Source organism: Homo sapiens, chromosome 17, assembly GCF_000001405.40.
Source record: "Homo sapiens chromosome 17, GRCh38.p14 Primary Assembly".
NCBI classification, from domain to species: domain Eukaryota; kingdom Metazoa; phylum Chordata; class Mammalia; order Primates; family Hominidae; genus Homo; species Homo sapiens.
The window spans coordinates 43,638,762-43,662,786 of NC_000017.11; the positions used below are offsets into that span (position 1 = coordinate 43,638,762).

Sequence of the window (24,025 nt, forward strand, 5' to 3'; positions counted from 1 at the left end):
GATGGATAGTGGCAATGGCTGCACAACAATGAGAAAATGTTTAATGCCACGGGACCGTGCACTTCAAAACGGTTAAAATGATAACTTTTATTTTATGTTAGAGTATTTTACAACAATTTAAAAAAACATAGGCCGGGCGTGGTGGCTCATGCCTGTAATCCCAGCGCTTTGGGAGGCTGAGGCGGGAGGATCACCTGAGGTCAGGAGTTTGAGACCAACCTGGCCAACATGGTGAAACCCCATCTCTACTAAAAATACAAAAATTAGCCATATCCCAGCTACTCAGGAGGCTGAGGCAGGAGAATCGCTTGAACCCGGGAGGCAGAGTTTGTGGTGAGCCAAGATCACGCCACTGCACTCCAGCCTGGGCGACAGAGCGAGACTGTCCCAAAAAACAAACAAACAAAAAAAGTAGGTGGATGGGATCATCTGGGGAGAGATTGAAAAATAGGGAAGGTGGCGGAAGAAAGAGAAAACCTTGAGAACCAGCTGTGAGAGCAGAAGCATCGAGAAAGGGGCTTGCATGGGGGACAGAGAAGGAACATCTAGGACAGATGAGGAAAGCCAGAAGAGGGTGATGTCCCCTGAAGCCACAGAGTTGAGTTTCCAGCAGGAGGGTGGACGGGGGTGACTGAGCGTGTCCATGTTGCTTGGCTGTGAACCTGAACCTGAGCCACTGAACCCACTTCCATTTGGCACCTTCATTTTGGTGGGTCTGCCTGATTCCAGGTCCTGGTGATGTCACTTCCAGGCACTGCCCACACCTGGCCCAGGCTGCCTCATTGCAAGATCCTGGCCAGGTCTCCCCTCCTGCCTCCCTCTCTCCCCTCACCGTAGCCAGTCCTGTTTTGTCCATTGTTGACATCTTGGTGAGACAAATTGTTTTTTAGTTAAAAAGACATAGAGGCCAGGCGTGGTGGCTCAGGCCTGTAACCTCAGCTCTTTGGGAGGCCAAAGCGGGTGGATCACCTGAGGTCAGGAGCTGGAGACCAGCCTGGCCAACATGGAGAAACCCCATCTCTACTAAAAATACAAAAATTAGCTGGGCGTGGTGGCACATGGCCGTAATCCCAGCTACTCAGGAGGCTGAGGCAGGAGAACCCAAGAGGTGGAGGTTGCAGTGAGCCAAGACATTGCTCTCCAGCCTGGGCAACAAGAGCGAAACTCTGTCTCAAAAAAAAAAAAAAAAAAAAGACAAAATATGGGATATTTTTTCTTATGTCATTTTTTACTACTATTAATATACATTTTTCTACCTTGAAAAATAAAATCTCCAAACTTTGAATTTAAACATTAGGGATGGTTACTTTGTGGTCAAGATTCCTTTATTAACAAAAGAGTTCATCTTTTGTTTATAAAACATTGACTATTTGATAGGTCATAGTTTAGGGAAACTGAAAGCTAAACTTTTACAATGAGAAATGAAGACCATGCATTTGCATTGGAGAAAAATTTTTTTTTGGCACCAATTATATTTTGTACCCACCTTTTGAAAAACTAAAGGGGGACAGCTCTGTCTAGATCATTTCTTCCCTTTTTCTCTTGCTTCTAGACATTGTCTGGTCAATCAGAAGGTTGCACACAAGAGCTGTGGTTGTTCGCTCTGCAAAGAAAAAGGCCTGGGAACTTTGCTTTTTATTGATTTTATTTCTCCGAGAGTTTTCTTACAAAGTGAATTGAGCTCGCACAATTAGCTTGATGTAATCTTAAGAAAATATATGAAGTATGCTTTAGAAAAAATCATGCTCTAACCAGCCATCTCATTTGGCAATCATTTTCCACAGCTCTTGCCCTTTTTGGGGTGGGGAGGTGGGGTTATTTTTACATGTGAATGATTACATCTGCGTACAAGAGATCCAAACTCACGTTGACCTCCCTCTGCAACACCAGCTGGTGTTGGGAGACAGAGCGCTGAGGCAGCCAGGGCTTCAGTCCCCCATGCTCTTTGGCCATCAGTCCTCAAATGTCATCTCCAGAAGACCTGGCTGAGGTCTGGGCAGTCCACACACAAAAACCTAGCATTTCCTCCCACAATAACAGCATTTGTAGAACACACAGCAAGAGCTTAAATCCATCCCATGGAGGAAGAGGGATTTTCTTGTCCCCTTTTGCAGTCACAGGACACTGTCACTGGAGAACCTTCCACTCCAGGGTTCCACATCTCCAGGCCCTCACCCAGCAGCCCTCCTTATTATCTCCCCTCCCCTCCAGAATGCAGGGGACACTTTCCAGCCTCTACGTTGTTTTCAGCTCCTAGTTGTTCAGCCCAACAACTCAGCATCTGGACAGGTTTTCAATCCAGAAATCGTGGATTTAAAAGGAGTAGCTGCTCCTTTTCTCTGGAGCACAGCCCAACAGCCCCTGCTGTATCCCTAAATTGATTTTGATTTTGAAGCAGCAGGTGCTGTCATGGGTTCATTCTTGTCCACCCAGTCAAGCCTGTGTGGACGGGCCTATATGGGGACACCGAAACCTACATCGGGCTATTTTTCTGTCTTCTCTAGTCAGTTCTCAGAAGTGTCTCCACTTAGCCAACAAATTTGGAGACAGGGATGTGTTTCTGGCTTGCAGCAGCTGAGTTGCTGTCCTTGACTCTCCTCATTCTGATTTTTCTTGGGGTTTCGGGACAACTAAGGGGCCCCAAAGCCTCAGATGTGCAGCCTACAGAGGAAGGTGGGCAAGGGCGTGTGTCTCTGTCATTTCCTTCCTTTTGAAGCATTTACTTTCCGAGTCGCCAGCTGGTTCCAAAGCTCCTCTCCCACCAGGCCAGGTGGTGTCCAGACCAGGAGGAGGCCTGGCTGACCTAGGAGAACAGCGGTAGGAGGAGGCATGGGTGGCAGCCAAGAGACGCTGAGAAGCAGTATCTCTGAAGCTGTTTCCAGATTCATCCGGCCCGGTAGGATCTCTGTCTGATTCCATGAGAGTGTGGGAGCAAAGGCCCTAGGGAAGAGGCTGCTAAGAGGCTGGACAGAACTTCCTAGAAAATCCTAAGACTCCCAGGAATGCTGGGCAGTTTCATATCCAAGAGTCAGGGAAAGATGTGGAGAGGCTGCCCTGGCTGGGGAAGGAAGAGGGTGAAGGTGGGATTGGGGTGGGGGTAGTTGGGTAGGGGGCTCAGTCCTTAGTCATTTTTCCTCCATGCAGAATCTCACTCTGAACTTGGAGAGGCTGTGGAGTCCCCATCCTCAGGGTCCTGCCCATTGGGGGAGATGGGCTGACCTCCCTTCACACGCTTCCACTTCATCCTTCGGTTCTGGAACCACACTTTGACCTGGGGGAGGAAGCAAAGGAGCCTGGTCACTCCAGGGCCGGTGTGACCTCCTCCCCATGTCAATGCTTAGGCTAGCCAGGGTGTAACTCCAGGGACCCCAGCTTGAAACCATCACTTACCACTCCCTACTCCCTCAAAGGCCCCAGGAACTAGGACCGAAGAGAGGACATACCAATCTGCCCAGAGGTCTGTCTTGTGGCTTCGGATAAAGCCCCAGACGGGGGAACATGTTCTAAAAGCACTCTGCATTGGCCCCACCCCCTTCACATGCCCTGCCCTGCCTGTGCCAGGTCCCCCTGCCCCCTACCTCCATTCCCCAAGGGTCTGGGAGCAGAGGTCATCAGCCTTATCCTTAGGCACATTTATAGAGCACTTTTTGGTTTAGATAGCTCTGGTAAGCACATTTTCTCATCTGAGCTTGAGTATTACCTGCAGGATTATGATCCCATTTTACAGATGGAGACCCAGAGGTCCCAGGGCTAGGAAAAGTGATAGAGGCAGGATTTGAATCTAAGTCTTCTGATTCAATATCCAGCCCTCTGGCAGAGTGCTCTGTCAACTGAAATCTGCTATCAAATATTACGGTTATTATTACTATTATTCCGTATCAGAGCATGGGTGTGGGGGTGTGGGGTGGCTGAAGGGAAAGTCCAAAACAAAGGGCCAGGGAAGTTTTTCTCAAAGTGTGCCCAGGAACCAGCTGCATATCCAGATCACCTGGAGAATGTACTAGAAATACAGATTCTCAGGCCCACTCATTATGGTAAAATCTCTCTCCGGACCTCCAGAATCCACATTTTGAACAAGTGCCTTGGGGGATTCCAACATATACTCAAATTTGGGAATAGCCAGACCGTAGGTCCCAACCTAGCTGCATGTGAGAATCACCTAGGGGGCCTTTGAAAAATTCTGAGGCCTGTATCCCATCCTAGGCCAATTAAAATCATCCCTAGGGGTGGAGCCCAGACATCAGCACTATTAAAATCTCCCCAGGGGCCGGGCGCAGTGGCTCACGCCTGTAATCCCAGCACTTTGGGAGGCCGAGGCGGGCGGATCACCTGAGGTCAGGAGTTTGAGACCATCCTGGCCAACATGGTGAAACCCCGCCTCTACTAAAAAAAAAAACAAAAATTAGCCGGGCGTGGTGGCGCACGCCAGTAGCCCAGCTACTTGGGAGGCTAAGGCAGGAGAATTGCTTGAACCCAGGAGGTGGAGGTTACAGTAAGATCGCGCCACTGCACTCCAGCCTGGGCGACAGAACGAGACTCCGTCTCAAAAAACAAAAAACAAAAAAACCCAAAACTCCCCAGGCTATTCTCAGGTGTGGCCACAGTTGAAAACCGCTGGACTGGCTGGAGGAAGAAAAAGGAGAAGGTCCAGGGAGGGGTGGTGGGAAAGGAGGGAAGGGAGGGAGATGAGAGAGCAAAGAAGAGGAGGGGCCCACCGGGGGCGCACCTGGCGCTCAGAGAGGTCCAGGTTTACCGCAATCTCATATCTGCGGAGCCGAGTCAGGTAGTTATGATGGGCAAACTCTGCCTCCAGCTCTCGCAGCTGCTCCTTGGTGAAGGCCGTCCTCTCCTTGCGGGCTTTGCTGCTGCCCTCCGGCTTCCCTCTGTTCTCCTGGTTGTCTGGGGAGAGAGGACCCCAAACAGGAAGACATGGGCTGAGGGAGACTCCATTCCCTTTCTTTTGCCCTTGAGCAACTAGGCAGTCTTTACCAGTCTCCCTTATTTTTACAGGATGCTGAGAAAAAAGCTACACTGTCCTTTTTATTCCTTCTGGTGTCTTACCCATATTAGAATTGGGAAGATTTTTTATTTTTGGTTTCCAATCTCAGGTACCTGCCTCCCACCCTCCCCCCACCCCAAACTTTCTTTTATTCCCAAAGCATAAGAAGCTACTCTTGGCTGTTTAATGACCTCTACTCCCCAGCCCACCCCCCAGCATGACATTACTGGTGGCCATAAGCTTGAGGGGTGAGATGCTCTAAAACAAAGCCTCAAACTATGGTCCCCAGATCAGCAGCATCAGCATTACCTGAGAGCTTGTTACAAATGCAAATCCTAGCCTCATTCCAGACCTACTAAGTCAGAAACTCTGGGGATGGCACTCAGCAATCTATTTTTACAAACCCTCCAGATGCGTCTGGTGCACAGTCAAGTCCGCTGCTCTAAGACCTCACCACTCAAAGGAGTGCCTGGGTGCCAGCAGCATCAGTAGCACCAGGGAGCTGTTCAGACCTGAAGGATCTCAGGCCTGCCCCAGACCTACCTACGGAATCAGAATCTGCCCCAGAGGGCCAAGTCTGGAAAGCCATCTGGAGCCCTCTGAAGCAGGCTGCATGTTAGATTCAGCGGGGCTCAGTCATAACTGCCAACAGGGTCAGGGGACACACTCTGTGCCAGGTGCTGTACCTGACATATATTAGCCTCTTATTCCTCAATAGCCCAACCAAGTGGTTCTAGTATTAGTATCACTTTATGGACCAGAAAACGAACACAGAGAAGTTAAGCAAATTGCCCAAGTTTATTCAGCCAGGGGGTGTGGGAGACAAGAATTAAATTCAGGCGATTTGACACACACATACTGTTCAAATGAAAAGTATGTAGGGGCCAGGCGCGGTGGCTCATCCCAGCACTTTGGGAGGCCAAGGCGGGCGGATCACGAGGTCAGGAGCTCGAGACCAGCCTGGCCAACATGGCGAAACCCCCGTCTCTACTAAAAATACAAAAAATTAGCTGGGCGCGGTGGCACGCCCCTGTAATCCCAACTACTTGGGAGGCTGAGGCAGGAGAATCGCTTGAACCCAGGAGGCGGAGGCTACAGTGAGCGGAGATCACGCCATTGCACTCCAGCCTGGGCGACAGAGCAAGACTACGTCTTGAAAAAAAAATTTAGGAAGGGCTTACAAACGGTAAAGTCCTGAACAAATAAAAGGGGCTGAATGGTTATCTCTTGAGCAGACGGGTGGGAGGCAGCTCTACCTTCACTTTAATGAATGGAGGTGGTGGGTGGAGAGGAGGTGGGAAGAAGACCACACACTTACACAATTAACTCGCAATGCATGCCACGTGGCCAGGGAATGGCTGCAGGAGCCCGGGGCTCTAACATTTAAAAGACGTTTGCTTCATTAATTATCTTTTTTTTTTTTTTTTTTTTTTTGAGATGGAGTCTCGCTCTGTCGCCAAGGCTAGAGTGCAGTGGTGCGATCTCGGCTCACTGCAAGCTCCGCCTCCCGGGTTCACACCATTCTCCTGCCTCCGCCTCCCGAGTAGCTGGGACTACAGGCGCCCGCCACCACGCCCGGCAAATTTTTTTGTATTTTTAGTAGAGACGACGTTTCACTGTGATAGCCAGGATGATCTCGATCTCCTGACCTCGTGATCTGCCCGCCTTGGCCTCCCAAAGTGCTGGGATTACAGGCGTGAGCCACTGCGCCCGGTCCATTTTCCTCATTTTATAGACATGGAGGCTGTGGCTCCGAGTGAGGTGCTTTACCGAAACCTGCGGCCCAACGTCCTGCTCCCTGAAAGACCCATCTCTGCCTTGCCGGCGAGGAGTGTTGGAAGGAGGGATCTTCTGTTTTCAGAGGCCGGGTCTAAGCTACCTGGGGGACTGGGCTGGGGAATTCAGACCCCCTAGTGTAAAGCAGAGAAGCCGCCTATGCAGTCGGCTAAGCAGCCGCATTGGGAGTGGGTGGCGAGGCAGGAACCCCACATTAACCCGGCGATCCACTTTGGAGCTTTGAGCCTAGCTGGTTCCCCTCCCAGCACCCCCCTCTATTGCTTTCCACTCAATCCCTTTGTATTTCAGTTTCCCCGTCCTCCGCCTCCGCGCCCCACTGCCTTGGGCTGGGCGACTCTCTAGCAGGAGGCGCACGGTAAAGTGATTTGGGCGCCTGGCCCACCTCGCGCTGCGCGTCCGTGGCCTCCGCCGGGGGATGGAAGGGGAGTGGGTGCCACCGTTCCGGGAACTCGAGAAGGCGGGGGAGGGGCCCGATAGTCCCGGTGCCCGGGTCAGGGGTGTCGTGGCACCCTGGCCCGGGGGTCCGCGTCCGATCCGGGTTGGCCGCCCGCGGGGCGCGCCCGGGGAGCAGGGCAGGGGGCCGAGTTCCTGGCGCGGGCTGCCTGCCCGGCGGCCTCTGGCTCCAGGCCGGAGAAGGCAGGTCCAGACCCCTCCGGAAGCGGGAGCGTGGGCAGCAGGGAAGGACGCGCAGCCCCGGGCCGGGGTCCCCGAGGAGCCCTCCGGCCTTGGCCGCCGCCAGCGCCGCGCCCCCTCCTGGCAGCGGGCCGGGGAGGGTCGGTCACGAGCGGATGACGGGCTTCCCGGAGCACAGCCCGGCCCACGGGCCCGGAGAGAGGCAGGAAACCCGGGCTTAGACGACGGGCGCGGTCGGGGACTGGTTTCCCAATCTTCTCCCGTCCCGAGGCTTAGTGTTTCCCAGCCCTTCCTTTCCACGGTTGCGGGGAGTGGATAGCCCAGAGGACCGCAGAGGCTTGAATCCTGAATCTCCATGCTGGAGACTTTGAGGAAGTCACTTAGCCTCTCTGGGCGTCAGTCTCCTCATCAAGAAATTGAGGAAATTTCACCTACCTCCTAGGGTTATTGGAAGACCGAACGAGTTAATATGTGTGTGCAACATGCTATTAAAATCTAAAAGTGGCCAGGCAAGGTGGCTCACGCCTGTAATCCCAGCACTTTGGGAAGCTGAGGCGGGCGGATCACCTGAGATCGGGAGTTCGCGACCAGCCTGACCAACATGGAGAAACACCGTCTCTACTAAAAATACAAACAACAACAAAAAATTAGCTGGGCGTGGTGGCTCATGCCTGTAATCCCAGCTACTCGGGAGGCTGAGGCAGGAGAATCGTTTGAACCTGGGAGGCGGAGGTTGCGGTGAGCCGAGATTGCGCCATTGCTCTCCAGCCTGGGCAACGAGAGCAAAACTCCGTCTCAAAAAAAAGAAAAATCTAAAAGTGCTGGACAAATATATTCTCCAATTTATCAGCTCCACGAGATGCCATTGAAGGGCTGGGATAGAAACAGATGCACTTCTTGAAGGTTTCTGTGTGTGCCCAGAGGCATCTGCGGCTTTAACCTCACCACACAGCGGCCTATGAGTGGATACTGTTCTTACCCCCTTTAGCACTCTTAACATGGGTTTGTGTGATAATTTGATTAATAGCTGTCTCCCCAGGGAAACACTTTTTCTCACCCTAGCATCTAGCCATAGTTGCTTCTGTACCTGGCACAACTGACCCCTACCGCGCCCCCAACCAGTTCTGCACATAATTCTCCTAGAGAGAAGAGGAAAAAGTACTTGCTAAGTATTTGCTAAATAATCCTGTTATACAGAAGAGCCAGCCTCAGACAGGCCCAGGAAATTGCCCAGTGTGCCTGACAGCTTTTAGGTGACAGAAGGGAGATTTGAACCCAGATCCATCTGATTAGAGCCAAGGCTCTCCATATCTCCTGGCTGGCTGGCTCAGGTTGGGGCCTGGAGCTGGACCATGGCAGCTGGGCTTGTCACCCCTTCCAGAGGTCCTGGGGTCACCACCCTGTTTGCTACCCACATCTACCCTCCTCCAAGACCTGCTTAGGTGTGCACAGGTGCCCCATGATGTCCCCCAAATAACTTCCCCCACCCCAGTTCTGCAAATAGGGCAGCTGACTACTGCCAGCCAAGCTATGCCCCATCCCTGGCCACCTCTCCTCTCCTGTCTCTTATTGCCCTGATTTAGCCTCTGGGGTTCCAGTGCCGATTTCCAGCAGAGGAAACAGGAAGAAGAAGTCTGGGTTGGGAACTGACGGTCTCAGCTAACTCCCTGTGTGAACCTGGGGGCAATACCTACTAATGGTGGGTGGGATGGATATTGGCTCTGGGAGGGCGGTTGTCCCTTGTCAACTTCCCAGAGTGGGATCAACGTTCACCACTGTTGGAAATGATGAAGGGACCAGAAGTATGGGAAGCAAGCTATGAAAGTTGAAGTGGAAGTTACGCTCTCTTTGTTCTGCAACAGTATTACAAATTGCAATATATTCAGCAAGATGGAAACACTATGAGCACTTGCATGCCGTTTCTGGGAGCTGTTCGGTCACCCTGCTCATGGGCACAGTTCCTGTGCACCCTGCCACATGAAAGTAACTCATGCTGGGTGGGGCGCAGGTGGCTCAGGCCTGTAATCCCAGCACTTTGGGAGGCCGAGGCGGGCGGATCATAAGGTCAGGAGATCGAGACCATCCTGGCTAACATGGTGAAACCCCGTCTCTACTAAAAATACAAAAAATTAGCCAGGCGTGGTGGCGGGCGCCTGTAGTCCCAGCTACTGGGAAGGCTGAGGCAGGAGAATGGCATGAACCTGGGAGGCGGAGCTTGCAGTGAGCCACGAGTACCACTGCACTCCAGCCTGGGCAACAGAGAAAGACTCTGTCTCAAAAAAAAAAAAAAAAAGAAAAGAAAAAGAAACTAACTCATGCTTCCCAAGATGGTCTGTTCCCAGGATAGTACAACTTTGTTAGGGAGGCTTCCTCTCCTCTGTGGGCCTCAGTTTCCCCATGTGTAGAAGTATGGGATTGGACCGGATTCTGTTTCTGCCAGGGAGCTGGTGTCAGAATTCCTTCCTGGAACATAAGCCTTGATGCCCTACACTCCCTACTCTCTCTTCCATTGAGAACCCTTAGCCTTGATGAAGTCTGAGGCTCTTCCAACTTCACGTATTCTTGTCTCAGCTCCTAGTTCCTCCCTTCAGTCAGATCTGAGGTCTTGCTGTGTGCTCTGTTCCAAAGCCCTCCCCAGCCTTCCCACAGCTCAATGATCAGGGCTCTGCTGGGCCGTTTCTCTCTCCCTGCCTTGAGCTGTGTGGAGGGAAGTTATATATGCAGACGTGTCGGAGGACCTGTTGGTGAACCTGGGCCTTAGCACTCATAGGTGAGTGAGGCACCGAGGAAGAGCTTTTGGATCTTGGGCAAGTCCTTTAGGTTCTTGGAGCTTCAATTTCCTCATTTGCAAAGCAGGAATAGCTACACCCGCTGTGCTTATCAGGCTGAGAAGTAACAGGAGCTGGATAGCGGGCGTTAACACCTAGCACAGTGCCTGGCATGTCACTGAAGCTCTGTTCACAAGAACCATCAGAAAGAGTTCTATTGGAGATTATATCTGAGATGACTCACGGGCAGAGTTAGAGCACTATGCTCCTTAAGGCACCACATCTCCAGACCTGTGTGAAAGGGTTATCTTTTAAATGTCTGGCCTTTCAGCTTTTTTTTTTTTTTTTTTTTTTTTGAGGCTGAGTCTCACTTTGGTCACCCAGGCTGGAGATTGGTCACTGCAATGGCGGGATCTCGGCTCACCGCAACCTCTGCCTCCTGGGTTCAAGCGATTCTCCTGCCTCAGCCTCTGGAGTAGCTGGGATTATGGGTGCCTGCCGCCACACTAGGCTAATTTTTGTATTTTTAGTAGAGATGGGGTTTCTCCACGTTGGCCAGGCTCGTCTCGAACTCCTGACCTCAGGTGATCCACCTGCCTCGGCCTCCCAAAGTGCTGAGATTACAGGCATGAGCCACTGCACCTGGCCTAGGCCACTATTGCTGCAGCCTTCAGAGTTCCACAATTCCAGGCACAACAACTAGATGTGTCACATGGCAATCCACATCACTCCTGCGCTGCTTCTCTCTTGGGGGCCGCAGATGCCTCTTCCAGAACTGCGGAGGGAGGATGCTGGCCCTCAGTGGGCTGCCTCTGTGATTAGGAAGGAGTTGCCCCACCCCAGCCCCTGCATAGCCCTCACCCTCTGCTGGAGCAGGGCTGTGAGGGAACAGTCAAATGCCCAGAGAAATGCAAACGGTGTGCATGTGATTGCGGTTTCCACCATGAGCTTCCACACCATCCAGGGCAAATTATTTCATATGTAGCTGCCACATTTGGCAGGCCTTCGTAAAGTGAGCAGACAGCTTTATCAGAGCTACAGGGAGGTTCAGACAGACCCATCCCTGTCTGAACATTTCTGGAGTTCTGTACTCTACAGTCCAACTCTGAGGGCACCAGTTTACATAAATTAATATCCAAATCAGACAGGATGCCAAATGCCTCACATTCAAATAGCACTGTGCAGTTGACAAGGGATTTCTTTCCTCCAAAGAGAACTTCTTTTAGGCTTTCACAGATACTACAGAATCATAGAAAGTAGAGGTGGGAGGGACTTAGAGATGATCAATGTCACCTTTTCATTTTATAGGTGAGCTTAGAGAAGGTAAGGAACTCCTGTAAGGACACACGGCAAGTTAGGGGCAGAATTGGGCCTAGAACCCAGATTTTCTTGTTAGGAAGCTCTTTCCACCCTATTGGGCTGTCTCCTATTTTATCCTCTTAATTATTCCATTAGGTAGGTAAGGTACACATTAGCCCGTTGAACATATGAGCAATTAAGATCCAGAGACTAAATGACTTGCCCAAGGCCCCTGGGACCAGTCTAGGGCTATAGCCTCATGTCACGCTGCCCTCGGGGGAGGATGAGTATGGAGGCTGTGCCTATCTTAGGGACATTGTCTGAGTCTGGGTTCAGATCTCTCTCCCTGGGACTCCCCAGAGAGGGAAAAAGAAGGGAATATTTGGAGCATGACATCAGTAGGTGAAACCTTGGCAAATCCTCGGAAAACGGTGTCTGTGGCTTCCTGCACTGTCACAGCATAGACACTTTGATGTCCCCGTAAGCTCTCCTACTTTCAGCCTCAGAAGGAGGGGTCAAAGCCCGTCGAAATAGACAAGACTGGGATGGAGCCAGCCCGAGACTGGTTGGATGTTCACATCCAGGATCTCCCTGGCTTCCTGGGGTTGGCCTGACTGTCTCACTGAGCCCTGCCCCACCCCAGTGTCCAGGCCCTTTTCCTCTCCTGTAGGTGCCTAAAGAGACATCGGCAGGGCTCCCAGCCTCTCTGGGGCCAGGGAATTCAAGGGATATTTCATGGGAGAGAGGCAGGTTCTTCTGGAATGAAAATGCGTAATGCTGGCTGGGCGCGGTGGCTCACACCTGTAATCCCAGCACTTTGGGAGGCCGAGGCGGGTGGATCACGAGATCAGGAGATCGAGACCATCCTGGCTAATATGGTGAAACCCCATCTCCACTAAAAATACAAAAAAATTAGCCGGGTGTGGTGGCGGGTGCCTGTAGTCCCAGCTACTCGGGAGGCTGAGGCAGGAGAATGGCATGAAACTGGGAGGCCGAGCTTGCAGGAAGCCTAGATCGTGCCACTGCACTCCAGCCTGGGCGACAGAGTGAGACTCCGTCTCAGAAAAAAAAGTCTGGTGCTATAGTCTTTGCTGAGAGTCCCAGGCGGGGTGGGTTGGTGAGGGGGAAGCGCAGCAGCTTTCAAGAGGGGATGGGGAGAGGCATGGGTAGTTCTGGGTTTTGTTTATAAGTTCCATATGTCACCCTCAGCTGTCACCAAAGGAAGTGTGGGCTTGAGACCCAGGCCCACTGCTCACGCTGTTCCTGTACCTCTGCATGCAAGAAAAACAAGGGGGAAAAAAAAAGAAAAGAAAAGGAAGGGGGTGGGTCCTGGCCAGAGGCCAGGGAGCCAAATTGGGTGAGAAGCCCAAGTTATGGGCAGAGAGGGAGTTGGGGAAAAGGGCCAGCTCTGGAGGTCTGCAGGGGCTGTGAGTCCTGTCTCTCAGGCAGAAAGGATTCTCTGCCTCTGAGTTATCCCCCCTCCCTGGGCCCAAGTGCCCGTGATTTATTCAAGCCAGAGAAATAGGTGAGCGGGCAGGAATCCTGAGTCCCTAGCATGGGAGAGTGGCGGAGCAGAGCTGAGGTGACCCCTGGGCTGACCTTCTTACAGCTCACGGGCTCATTGGATCTTTCCCTCTTCGATGTTGGTCAGGATCCTGCTGCCTCAGCAGAAACGGACTTTCTCCAGAGTTTCCGACTATACCTGATCAGGGGCCTGAGCAGGCCCAGGCGTGGGATTTGTGCTGGAGCCTCTGAGTTCAGATGGTGGCCGAGGCCTGGGTCCTGCTTTGGGCTCTGAGCTTTCTTTGCTTGTCAGAAGAGGAGGTCAGGAGCTCTAATCAGGAGGCCGGGGATGCCCAGAGGGATACTGGCTGAGTGTGGAGTTGCTGTCTCCCCTCCCACGCTGGCCACTCTGGACCATAAAACTTCTTCCTCACTAGGGGTTCTGGACATGGACTCGGGACAAGAGGAGCTGCTGCAGCGGTGCACCCCTCAAACCACACCCCACCCAGCACTGCCACAACCCTAAGCCAGTAGCATCGTCAGAGTCAGGCAGGCCCGGCTGACAGCAGGGGGCAAAGACTTCAGCAGAGCTCAGGACACTTTGGCCTGTTTTTGAACGTGGGAAACCTGATGCAGCCAGCCAGCATCAGGGGAGGACTTTAAAGAGAGAGGGGTGCTCATATGTGGGTTTGGGAAAACTGGAGCCAGGGGTTACCAAGTGTTGGCTGTGGACTCTACATCTCTGATATCATTTAGTCTCACAGCTACCCACCTTATGAAGTAGGTACTGTTACCCTCATTTCTCAGAAGAGACTCAGGGAGGGTTAGGACTCACCCACGTCCACACAGCCAGGAAGTTGTGGATCAGGGACCTGAACCAGGGCTACCTTGTTAATTCGCTTGACCTTAGTCTCTGACCACCCTTCCTCCTATTACTGTACCGTGGCCCAGCAAGAAGGTGAGCATGGGCATGAGGTCACTTGTATGGGACTTGGCATCACTCTGGCGACCCAGGTGACACTTATTGGGGTTGTCCATTTATTTCATTCTCATCTCTACTATTGCTTTTTTTTTTTTTTTTTTTTTTTTGAGACGGAGTCTCACTCTGTCGCCCAGGCTGGAGTGCAGTGGTGTGATCTCGGCTCACTGCAAGCTGTGCCTCCCAGGTTCACGCCATTTTCCTGCCTCAGCCTCCCAAGTAGCTGGGACTACTGGCGCCTGCCACCACGCTTGGCTAATTTTTTTATATTTTTAGTAGAGATGGCATTTCACCGTGTTAGCCAGGATGGTCTCGATCTTCTGACATCGTGATTCACCAGCCTCAGCCTCCCAAAGTGCTGGGATTACAGGTGTGAGCCACCGTGCCCAGCCTACCATTGCCTTTTTTTTTTTTTTTTGAGACGGAATCTCACTCTGTCTCCCCAGCTGGAGTGCAGTGGCACGATCTTGGCTCACAGCAACCTCTACCTCCCTGGTTCAAGCGATTTTCCTGCCTCAGCCTCCTGATTAGCTGGGACTACAGGTGTGAGCCAACACGCCCAGCTAATTTTTGTATTTTTAGTAGAGACAGGGTTTCATCATGTTGGTCAGGCTGGTCTCAAACTCCTGACCTCAAGTGATCCACCCACCTTGGCCTCCCAAATAGCTGGGATTACAGGCGTGAGCCACCGCATCCAGCCCATGCCTCTTTTCTCCTTTCCTCTGTCAAACAGCTCCCTTCTTTAGAGATTCACTCCTAAAACTGCCTCCACTTTTTTTTTTTTTTTTTGAGACAGAGTCTGGCTCTGTCACCCAGGCTGGAGTGCAATGGTGTGATCCAGCTCACTGCAACCTCCACTTCCCAGGTTCAAGCGATTCTCCTGCCTCAGCCTCCTGAGTAGCTGGGACTGTAGGCGCATGCCACCACGCCCAGCTAATTTTTGTATTTTTAGTAGAAATGGGATTTCACCATTTTGGCCAGGATGGTTTTGATTTCTTGAGCTCATGATCCGCCCACCTCGGCCTCCCAAAGTGCTGGGATTACAGGCGTGAGCCACCGCACCCGGCCAACTGCCTCCACTTTTTATGTCTGTACTTGTTGGTGTAAGATAGGAAATCAGGGATCTGCTTGTGGCTAGAAACAACTTCCTGTCTCAGTGGAAAAGCTCTACCAGCCGACAGGACCCTGAGCTAGGAAAGCTCTGGGGTCAGGCACACATCTGGGTGCTGCTTTCACTAAAGGGGTTTTCAACTGAAGGGTCTGTGCCACAGTTTGAACCTTGTCCCTTGTTCCTGTCCCCGTACAGTCCTGTACAGTCCCTATAAGGGCAGAATTGTGCTTCCCTCCCCAATTCCTATGTTGAAGCCCTAACCCCAGTACCTTAGAGTGTGTCTGTATTTGGACATAGGGCCTTTAAAGAAGGGATTAAGTTAAAATGAGGCTGTTAGGGTGGGTCCCAATCCAATCTGCCTGATATGCTTATAAGAAGGGGAGATTAGGGGCTCATGCCTGTAATCCCAGCACTTTGGGAGGCCAAGGCGGGCGGATCACCTGAGGTCAGGAGTTCGAGACCAGCCTGGCCAACATGGTAAAACCCCTGTCTACTAAAAATGCAAAAATTAGCCAGGTGTGGTGGCACACGCCTGTAATCCCAGCTACTTGGGAGACTGAGGCAAGAGAATCACTTGAACCTGGGAGGCAGAGATTGCAGTGAGCCGTGATCACGCCATTGTGCTCTAGCCAGAGCAACAGCAAGACTCTTGTCTCAAAAAAAAAGAAAAAGGAAAAATTAAAAATATGGTCAGGTGTAGTGGTTCACACCTGTAATCCTAGCACTTTGGAAGGCCGAGGCAGGAGGATTGTTTGAGGCCAAGAGTTCAAGACCAATCTGGCCAACATAGCGAGACCCCTGTCTCTATATTTTATTCTAATAATAAATAATTTTTTTGGAAAATTAAAAATATAATTACTACATAATATAGCAATTTCCCTTCTAGGTATACACTCAAAAGAATTGAAAATACACTCTCCAGCCGGGTGCAGTGACTCACACCTGTAATCCCAGTGCTTTGGGAGGCTGAGGCCAGTGGATCACGAGGTCAGGAGATTGAGACCATCCTGGCTAACACAGTGAAACCCCGTCTCTACTAAAAATACAAAAAATTAGCCAGACGTGGTGGTGGGCGCCTGTAGTCCCAGCTACTCGGGAGGCTGAGGTAGGAGAATGGCATGAACCCGGGAGGCGGAGCTTGCAGTGAGCTGAGATCGCGCCACTGCACTCTAGCCTGGGTGACAGAGTGAGACTCCGTCTCAAAAAAGAAAAAGAAAAAGAAAATACACTCTCCAGGAGGTATTTGCACACTCATGTTCATTGCAGCATTATTCACAACTGCCAAGAGGTGGAAGCAACCTACATGTTCATCAACAGATGAATGGATAAAGAAATTTGGTGGCCGGGCACAGTGGCTCACGCCTGTAGTCCCAGCACTTTGGGAGGCTGAGGCAGGCAGATCACAAGGTCAAGAAATTGAGACTATCCTGGCCAACATGGTGAAACCCCGTCTCTATTAAAAATACAAAAATTAGCTGGGCGTGGTGGCGTGTGCCTGTAGTCCCAGCTACTTGGGAGGCTGAGGCAGGAGAATCACTTGAATACGGGAGGCGGAGGTTGCAGTGAGCCGAGATCGCGCCACTGCACTCCAGCCTGGCAACAGAGTGAGACTCCGTCTCAAAAAAAAAAAAAAGAAGAAAGAAATTTGGTATATCCATACAATGGAATGTTATTGTCTTCAGAAAGAAGGAGGCCAGGCATGGTGGCTCACACCTATAATTCCAGCACTTTGGGAGGCCAAGGTGGGAGGACTGCTAGAAGCCCTGAGTTCAACACCTGCCTCGGCAGCATAGCAAGACCCTGTCTTTCTAAAAAAAAAAAAAAAAAAAAAAAAAAGAAGAAAATCCTGTCACTTGCTACAACCTGGTTGAAACTTGAGGACATTATGCCAAGTGACATAAGCCAGTCACAAAAATGACAAACATTGCATGATTTCACTTATGTAAGGTATCTAAAATAGTCAAATGTTTAGCAAGAGAAAGAATGGTGATTGCTAGGGGGTGGGGGAAGGGAAAAAAGGTCGTTGTTTAATGGAGATAGAGTTTCGGTTTTGCAAGATTAAAAGTTCTAGAAATCGATTGCACAACTACTGTACTGTATCACTTAAAAACTGTTAAGACGGTAACTTTTATGTTATGTGTATTTGACCCCAATTTTTAAAAAAGGAGATTTCAAATATAAGATGTCCCAGGTAAGAAACCTCAGAAGAGTTCCTTTATGAAACAACTGCAAGCTAAAGTGAGAAAATCAACACAGATTCTAGCAGATACTAGACTTCGACATTTCTTAACTGTAGCTTTCTTTGATACTATGTTATATGCAAATGTAGCTATAAATTTTTGAAAAAGAAGAACAAAAATATTCTTGGAAGGGGTTGTTTTTGAGCTGGGTGGTTTTTAAGTAGGACTTCAACAGGCAGAAGTACGGGGAAGGGGAGAGTGCTCTAGGCAAGGAGAAACCACCAGAGCACAGTCAGAGAGGGGGAAGAAAATGCAGGATGTGTTTGCAAGGTCAGTCCCTGGGTGTGGCTTCGTGGCAGGGGTAGTGGAGGGGACCTGGGGCGGGGAGGTGGCCTGTAAAGGGGCATCAGGAGGGAAAAGAGGAGAGAGGCCTATTTGTGGAGTTTTATACCTTAGGCAAATTTGTGGTTGGGCGGAGGCAGGCATAGAGCAGGTCTTGCAAAGAGAAATTGGGGCAGGACAGCTCTGGGAACACACGTGTTGGAGCTGAAGAAGGATGAGACAAATCACGTCTGATTAAAGGCATGTCTCAGCAGAGTGAGGACGTGAGAGCAGGAGGGAGCAGTGCTGAGTTCTAGCACCATGGCTTTCCCAGGCGGGCGATCGGATTCACCTGTAGCCACTCTAATCACACGCAACCTTCCCTTGAACCCCATGAGGAAACCACCGCAAAATCCTTCATTCCCATAAATTAAAGACAACCACAGTAGCAAGGACAGTTTGGGGGAAAACAACAGTGGCCTCACAGCTGTCCCTGCCAGCAGGGGTCTTTAATCCCCATTGGCCTGGGGCTGGGAGTGGTTTGGGTAAGATAACACCATGCTGGTCTCCAGGGTGGGGAAGTGCCAAAGGCCAGGAACCCTGCTTTCTTTCTTTCTCCCCGTTTGTTCATTTTCTTTCTTTCTTTTTCTTTCTTTCTTTCTCTTTCTTTCTTTCTTTCTTTCTTTCTTTCTTTCTTTCTTTCTTTCCTTCCTTCCTTCTTTCTTTCTTTTCTTTCTTTCTTTTTCTTTCTCTCTTTTTCTCTCTGTCTCCTTCCTTCCTTCCTTTCTTCCTTTCTCTCTCTCTTTCTTTCTTTCTTTCTTTTTTTTTTTTTTTTTTGATGTAGTCCCGCTCTGTCACCCAGGCTGAATGAAGTGCAGTGGCGTGATCTCTGCTCACTGCAATCTCCACCTCCCAAGTTCAAGCTATTCTCCTGCCTCAGCTTCCCAAGTAGCTGGGATTTACAGGTGCCTGCCACCACACCTGGCTAATTTTTTTTTTTTTTTTTTGTATTTTTAGTAGAGATAGGGTTTCACCATGTTGGCCAGGTCAGTCTTGAACTCCTGGCCTCAGGTGATCCGCCTGGCTCAGCCTCCCAAAGTGCTGGGATTATAGGCATGAGCCACCGCGCCCGGCCAACCCTTGCTTTCTTGATAATTTCTTTGAGTAGATCAGCTCCAGATTCTACTGGGAGTGAGCGGGGAGCAGTTGAAGGAGATGGCAAAGGAGGAAGGAAGCGCAGAGAACATTCCTCTTACAATAAACTTTCCATTTCTGGAGGCTTCTCAGCCACTCAATATGGGGTGCATTTGCCAGGCCCAACTCACCCCATAACCTCTCCGGCAGGTCTCTGAGCTCCATGCTCCTGATGACAACTGGAACAAAATGATTGCCAGAAGTTCTCTAGACTCAGGAATTTCTGAGACAGCATAATTGAAATATTCAATTCCACCATCCCCATAAATATAGAAATATTTGTCAGACCTTATATTCTGAAGGCTGGTTCAGGAAATATGGGCCTAATACCATTTACAGCTGCTATTTATTGAACTCTTACTATGTGCCAGGCACAGAGTTAATCTCATGGATCACTGCATCTAACCTTCACAGAGAGACTCTCTATGGAAGGGGCTACTGCTATATGCCCATTTTACAGCCAGGGAAACAAAGGCTGGAAGAAGTTATGAACTTTTCCAAAGTCATGCAGCCAAAAGTTGCCGTGCTGACACTGCAGCCTGTCTGTCTGGCTGGGAAGAACTATGGAAAACGCGTTTCTGATCAATGCTGGTTAACCTTCCAGGGACCACTCAGCCTGGACTTGGGGAGGCCCAAATGCAAGGGCATGCCCAACCCCTCTGTAGTCAAGATCAATAATATTTTAAGGAAGGCCGGGCACGGTGGCGCATGCCAGCACTTTGGGAGGCCGAGGTGGGCTGATCACGAGGTCAGGAGTTTGAGACCATCCTGACCAACATGGTAAAACCCCGACTCTACTAAAAATACAAAAATTAGCCGGGAGAGGGGGCGTGCGCCTATAATCCCAGCTACTCAGGAGGCTGAGACAGGAGAATTGCTTGAACCCAAGGGGCAGAGGTTGCAGTGAATTGAAACTATGCCACTGCACTCCAGCATGGGCGTTAGAGTGAGACTCCATCTCAAAAAAAAAAAAAAAAGAATATTTTAAGGCAATATTTGTAAAAATCAAAAGTAATGCAAAAAATTGATAATGAACAAAATATCACAATTTTGGAGAGGGGATCCAATTATAGACTCAGGATTGGCAGGGTTGGGTGGGGGGCTCTCTGTGGGTTTGCCTTTTCTGAGCTGAATTCCAGATTCCTGGAGTAGGTCATGAGCCTTGCGTCACTTTCCCCCTTCTTTGGGCTCTTACAAAGCTGATCTTTCTTGCCTCCTTCCTCCCCTTCAGTTAAATTCCAAAGGAGGATGCAAGCATTGCGGCAATAAAGATTTCCATGCTGAACAGTGAGTTTGTCTGGAATCACAGGGGGATGAGTGAGAGTCAGCTCACTGGGCCCTGCCTCATCTGCTGCTGGTGCTCCTGAGGGGACCCTTAGGGAAGCCCAGGGCCCCTGCGGATGGGAACCTCCCTCCACCAAAGTCTGACCCTGAAGCATGCAGGCCGTTCAGCCGAGGGTGTCCCTGTACTCCTGGGTGGCCAGCTGCTTAGTGTGAATGGTCTCTCTGCATTGCAGGGCCATCGGCCACTCGCCAAAAAGAGAGCTGGTGCATTTGGGTTTTGCTGAGACTCGGAATGCTGGAAGATTCTGCCTGAGCCCAGCAGGCTCTTGGCTTTGCTATCCCTTCCCAATGCCCTTGGCTGTCAGTTCTCTGGAAAGTGGCAGAGAGGAAGGAGCCACAGTGCTGCGTGCCGCCACCAAGGGGAAAGCTCTTCAACCAGGTTCAGAGCCAAGTCGCTGAGAGTTGCTTCTCATCCTTAGCACATTTCCTACCAGGGGCAGGATGAGTTAATTTTCGGGATGGGGATCTAACTGGCTGGCGGTTTAAAGGGCCCTTCTATTTAGCAGCCATGAGGGCTGCTAGAGTTCCTATCTCCCATTGAAGAAGGGGCTTCTTCAAGCAGACAGACCAAACATCATTTCAAAATGAGGACTGCATTTGAAATCTACTGAAGGGGGTGATACCGGGGGCCTGAAGCCTGGGGTTTGAGCTCACTTCTAGGGTGACCAATTCTTCTGTTTGCCTGGGACTGTGGGGTTTCCTACGACAGGATTTTCAGTGCTAAAACTGGAAAAGTCCTGGGCAAATGGAGATGAGCTGCTCACTCTAGTTTGACCCCATTCTTTCTGTGTTCTCACCAACTTTCAGTCTTTCATTTTGCAGATTGAGAGAATCAAGGTACTAATAAAACCTGCTGTCCCCATCTCCCAAACCCGTGGGACTCAAAAGAGCTGACGTCAGTATCCCATGGCACCTTAAGCCTCCCCATCAGGGCACATCCCACTGCTGACACACCTCTGCAGGCCTCTTCTTCCTCTCAGTTTGAGCTTTCTTGGGTGAGACCCCTTTATTCATCTCAGAGCATTCCTGGGCTTGGCTAAGAGCAGAAACTCGGGAAAGCTGTGCTTATAAAGCAAAGCACAAAGCATTCCCACCTGTTGGTTGGTGTCCTTCTTTTCTGTCCTGCCCTGGTTAGCCCCATGGGAAGGTCCTCTACAGGCTCCGACAGACAGGCGTGCCCCTGAGGGCGGCTGTCAGGAGGAAAACAGGGCAGCACGGGCAGGAGGCTTGGTCACTGCTTTGTTCTGAACGAGGCCGGGACAAGGAACCAGACAAAAGGTGGACAGGTATAGTGAGCAACCAGGGAGGGCCTGGTGGGGAGGTGAGGAAGCAGCAGGTCCCCACCCTGGGGAAGAGAAGGGCTTTAGCTGGAATCTTAACAAATAGGCCAATCTCATCCTCCAGCCTCTGGGACTCCAGCACGGACTCCCTTGGCTGCCTGCCTCCCTGACTCTCTCAGAGGCTGCCCATCCCTTGCAGCTCCTTGCGGGGCTGCCTTCCTGGGGGGTCAGCCAGATCTCAGCATGCTGAGTTGTCTGTCCCCTTGGCCTGGACATGGCCCAGCTCCGCAGGGTGATATCTGGTGGGCAGTCTGCCCCAAACCTCAGCCCTCCATCTCCCCCTCACCCCTTGATTCTCCCATCCCAGCCGCAGGCCTGCTTCTCTGCCTCTAGGCTCCTGGACACATAGGGTCTTGGCTTTGGGTGGCCACCCAGGGTCCCAGCTTCAGTCTTAGCTCTCAGAGCCTTAACCTCAGCTGAACTTCCCTGGTAAGCGAGCCCTGTGGCTCTAGGACCACTTGGGGCTGGCCAAAGCATGGTGGGGAGGAGGATGACTCAATGGCAGCCTGATTCAGGAAAGCCCCTCACCAGCCCTCGCCAGTCTGCACCCAGAGGATCCATTTCACGTGTCCTCCAAATCCTGGCTGATCCTGTTTCATTCTCTTGCTGGACACCCTTTCTGGGGCCCAGGAGTGCTGGGACACAGACATGGTCCCCATCACCAGAGAATCCTAGAACTCTCAGTGGAAGAAACCCCAAAGGTAACTGGTCCAGTCTCCTGCATTTGGATGGACTAGACAGAAATTCATGCTCAGAGCACCTAGGCACAGAGAGGGTGAGTAACTTCCCCAGGGTCACACAGTAAAGGAATGATCAGCTGCTCCTGAGCCACCTACCTGAACTCTCCTTTCTCCGCCTGGATGATTTCTTCTCTGTCTCATTGGCAGTGCTCCCAAGCACCCCGTAGTCATCGCCTGGGCCTCCTGTGGTGTCCACCAGGCCCAGGCTGCTGGTCCCCATTTCCTTGGAACCCCCTGCCGGGCCTGAGTTGGGCCTGCGCCGGGCGTCTGAGACAGGGAAGTGCCAGTTGGGGGACTGTGGGAAAGCGGGGTGCTGCTCAGTGAAGATGTGCTCCTCCTGGGGCAGGCTGTGTGGGGTGGCTGCCAGGCAGGAGGCTGAGAAGTCAGGGTACGCTGCCGTCGCTGTCGCCAGGAAGTCTGGTTTCTGGTGGAAGGAGAACGGGGTGGGCGGGTAGTGGGGTAGCCCTGAGGCCCCATTGCCTTCCGAGTGGGGGTTTCGAAGGCAGCCCCAGACAGGGGCTGGGGGCTGGAGGCTCCTCATGCAGCTGCTGGCCGCGGGATCCATCTGCTGTCCGCTGCACGCCTCGGTCCTTTCAAAGATTTGATTCTTTATACTTTTTATGTTCAAATTTTTAAAAATGCAAAAGAAAAAAAACTAAATAGGAGGGAAAAATGTTCAACAGAAAATTTACCCCAGGAACCAAAAAAAAAAAAAAACCCAAAACTAAAGTCTCTCCTTAAAGTACACACACATGTGGCCAGCTACTCCTATGTGTGTGCACACACCTATGTCGGGCTTGCTCCTGCCCCTCCAATGCACCAGCCTACCTACTGGGATCCCCTGTATGTGTATTTGTCGCCAATGACACTAAACATTTTCACTGTCCCAACCCAGACGCACCAGCTGACGAGGAGTTCGTCCTGGAGCCCAGAGCAAATGCCTGCAGAGGGCTGGACCAGGGCTGCTGGGACACACTTTTAAATCCTGCGGTGGGGAGAGAGTGACAAATTTCTGAAGTGAAATGTGAGAGAGGAGAGGGAGGGGTTAACCCACACACACAAGATCCCCTCCAACCAAAACCCTAGCAGGCAACTATTAATCATCAGAAACCTTATATGCACATCTAATGGGATTTGCAGATGGAGACTTTTAAAGAAACATTGTCTGTATTTTTTTTTTAAGGAAAGAGAGCAGCACACACACACATACACACACACCGTCTTTAATGTGCCTCCTGTAACACTATGAAGTTATTTTTATTGCACTGTTAACAAAATTCCCCAAGTCTTGGATTTAGAAAAAGCCTTAAGTCAGATCCAGAATCCATCAAATGCCAAATTCCAGGGAGTGAAGTGAGGAATAAGAGCAAGAGACAAGCTTGGTGATTGCATTTGATTTAAAGGCCCTTCTACTGCTGCCTGCGAAAAAGGAAGGTGGATTAAAAGAAATCTTTTTTGCAAGTCTCAGCGGCCCACTGTGGTCTGCAGTACAAAGAAAGGCACACTCTAGAAAAAAAGAATTTCTCTCTGCCCAGAGTGACATTCTCACTTTCTCAGTAACTTAAAAAAACAATCAGATTCTTCCTTCCGCTCTTTAACCTCCAACATACATGCCAATTAGCCACACTCTTCTCTAGAGAGGTTTCAAGTCATTTTTCTTCACAGCAATGGCAAGGCTCTTAAATAAGGTCCTTGAAGTTTCTTCGGGTCTCCTCCCACCTGCTCCCTGCCCCCTTCACCTCCACCCACCTGCTTCCCTTTCTCATCCCCCAGAGGCGGAGGCTTCCGAGGAATTTGGGGTAGGGAAATAGGAATCA

At 50.9% G+C, this 24,025-nt stretch overlaps 1 protein-coding gene across 4 annotated transcripts, besides 2 other annotated features; it reads right to left on the reverse strand.

Annotated features, from left to right (window-relative positions):
* MEOX1 (mesenchyme homeobox 1) lies at positions 1,628 to 23,161 on the reverse strand. 4 transcript variants are annotated; one of them, NM_001040002.2, is made up of 4 exons: positions 23,110 to 23,161; positions 22,305 to 22,632; positions 4,727 to 4,899; positions 1,628 to 3,271 (listed from the first exon to the last, which is right to left on the reverse strand). In NM_001040002.2, the coding sequence occupies exons 2-4, from the start codon at positions 22,426 to 22,428 to the stop codon at positions 3,149 to 3,151; spliced, it is 420 nt and encodes a 139-aa protein (NP_001035091.1). In that variant the 5' UTR covers positions 22,429 to 22,632; positions 23,110 to 23,161; the 3' UTR covers positions 1,628 to 3,148. The 4 variants fall into 4 exon arrangements, with proteins under 4 accessions (NP_001035091.1, NP_004518.1, XP_011523120.1 ...); NM_004527.4 differs by having other exon boundaries at positions 22,305 to 23,161; XM_011524818.3 differs by having other exon boundaries at positions 4,716 to 4,899; positions 22,305 to 23,161.
* Positions 13,332 to 13,831: an enhancer, noted in NCBI's record as "H3K4me1 hESC enhancer chr17:41729461-41729960 (GRCh37/hg19 assembly coordinates)". NCBI's record gives its function as "activates a minimal SCP1, AML or CMV promoter by ChIP-STARR-seq in naive H9 embryonic stem cells {active_cell/tissue: H9 hESC(naive)}" and the evidence as "EXISTENCE:reporter gene assay evidence [ECO:0000049][PMID:30033119]".
* Positions 21,914 to 22,455: an enhancer, noted in NCBI's record as "H3K4me1 hESC enhancer chr17:41738043-41738584 (GRCh37/hg19 assembly coordinates)". NCBI's record gives its function as "activates a minimal SCP1, AML or CMV promoter by ChIP-STARR-seq in primed H9 embryonic stem cells {active_cell/tissue: H9 hESC(primed)}" and the evidence as "EXISTENCE:reporter gene assay evidence [ECO:0000049][PMID:30033119]".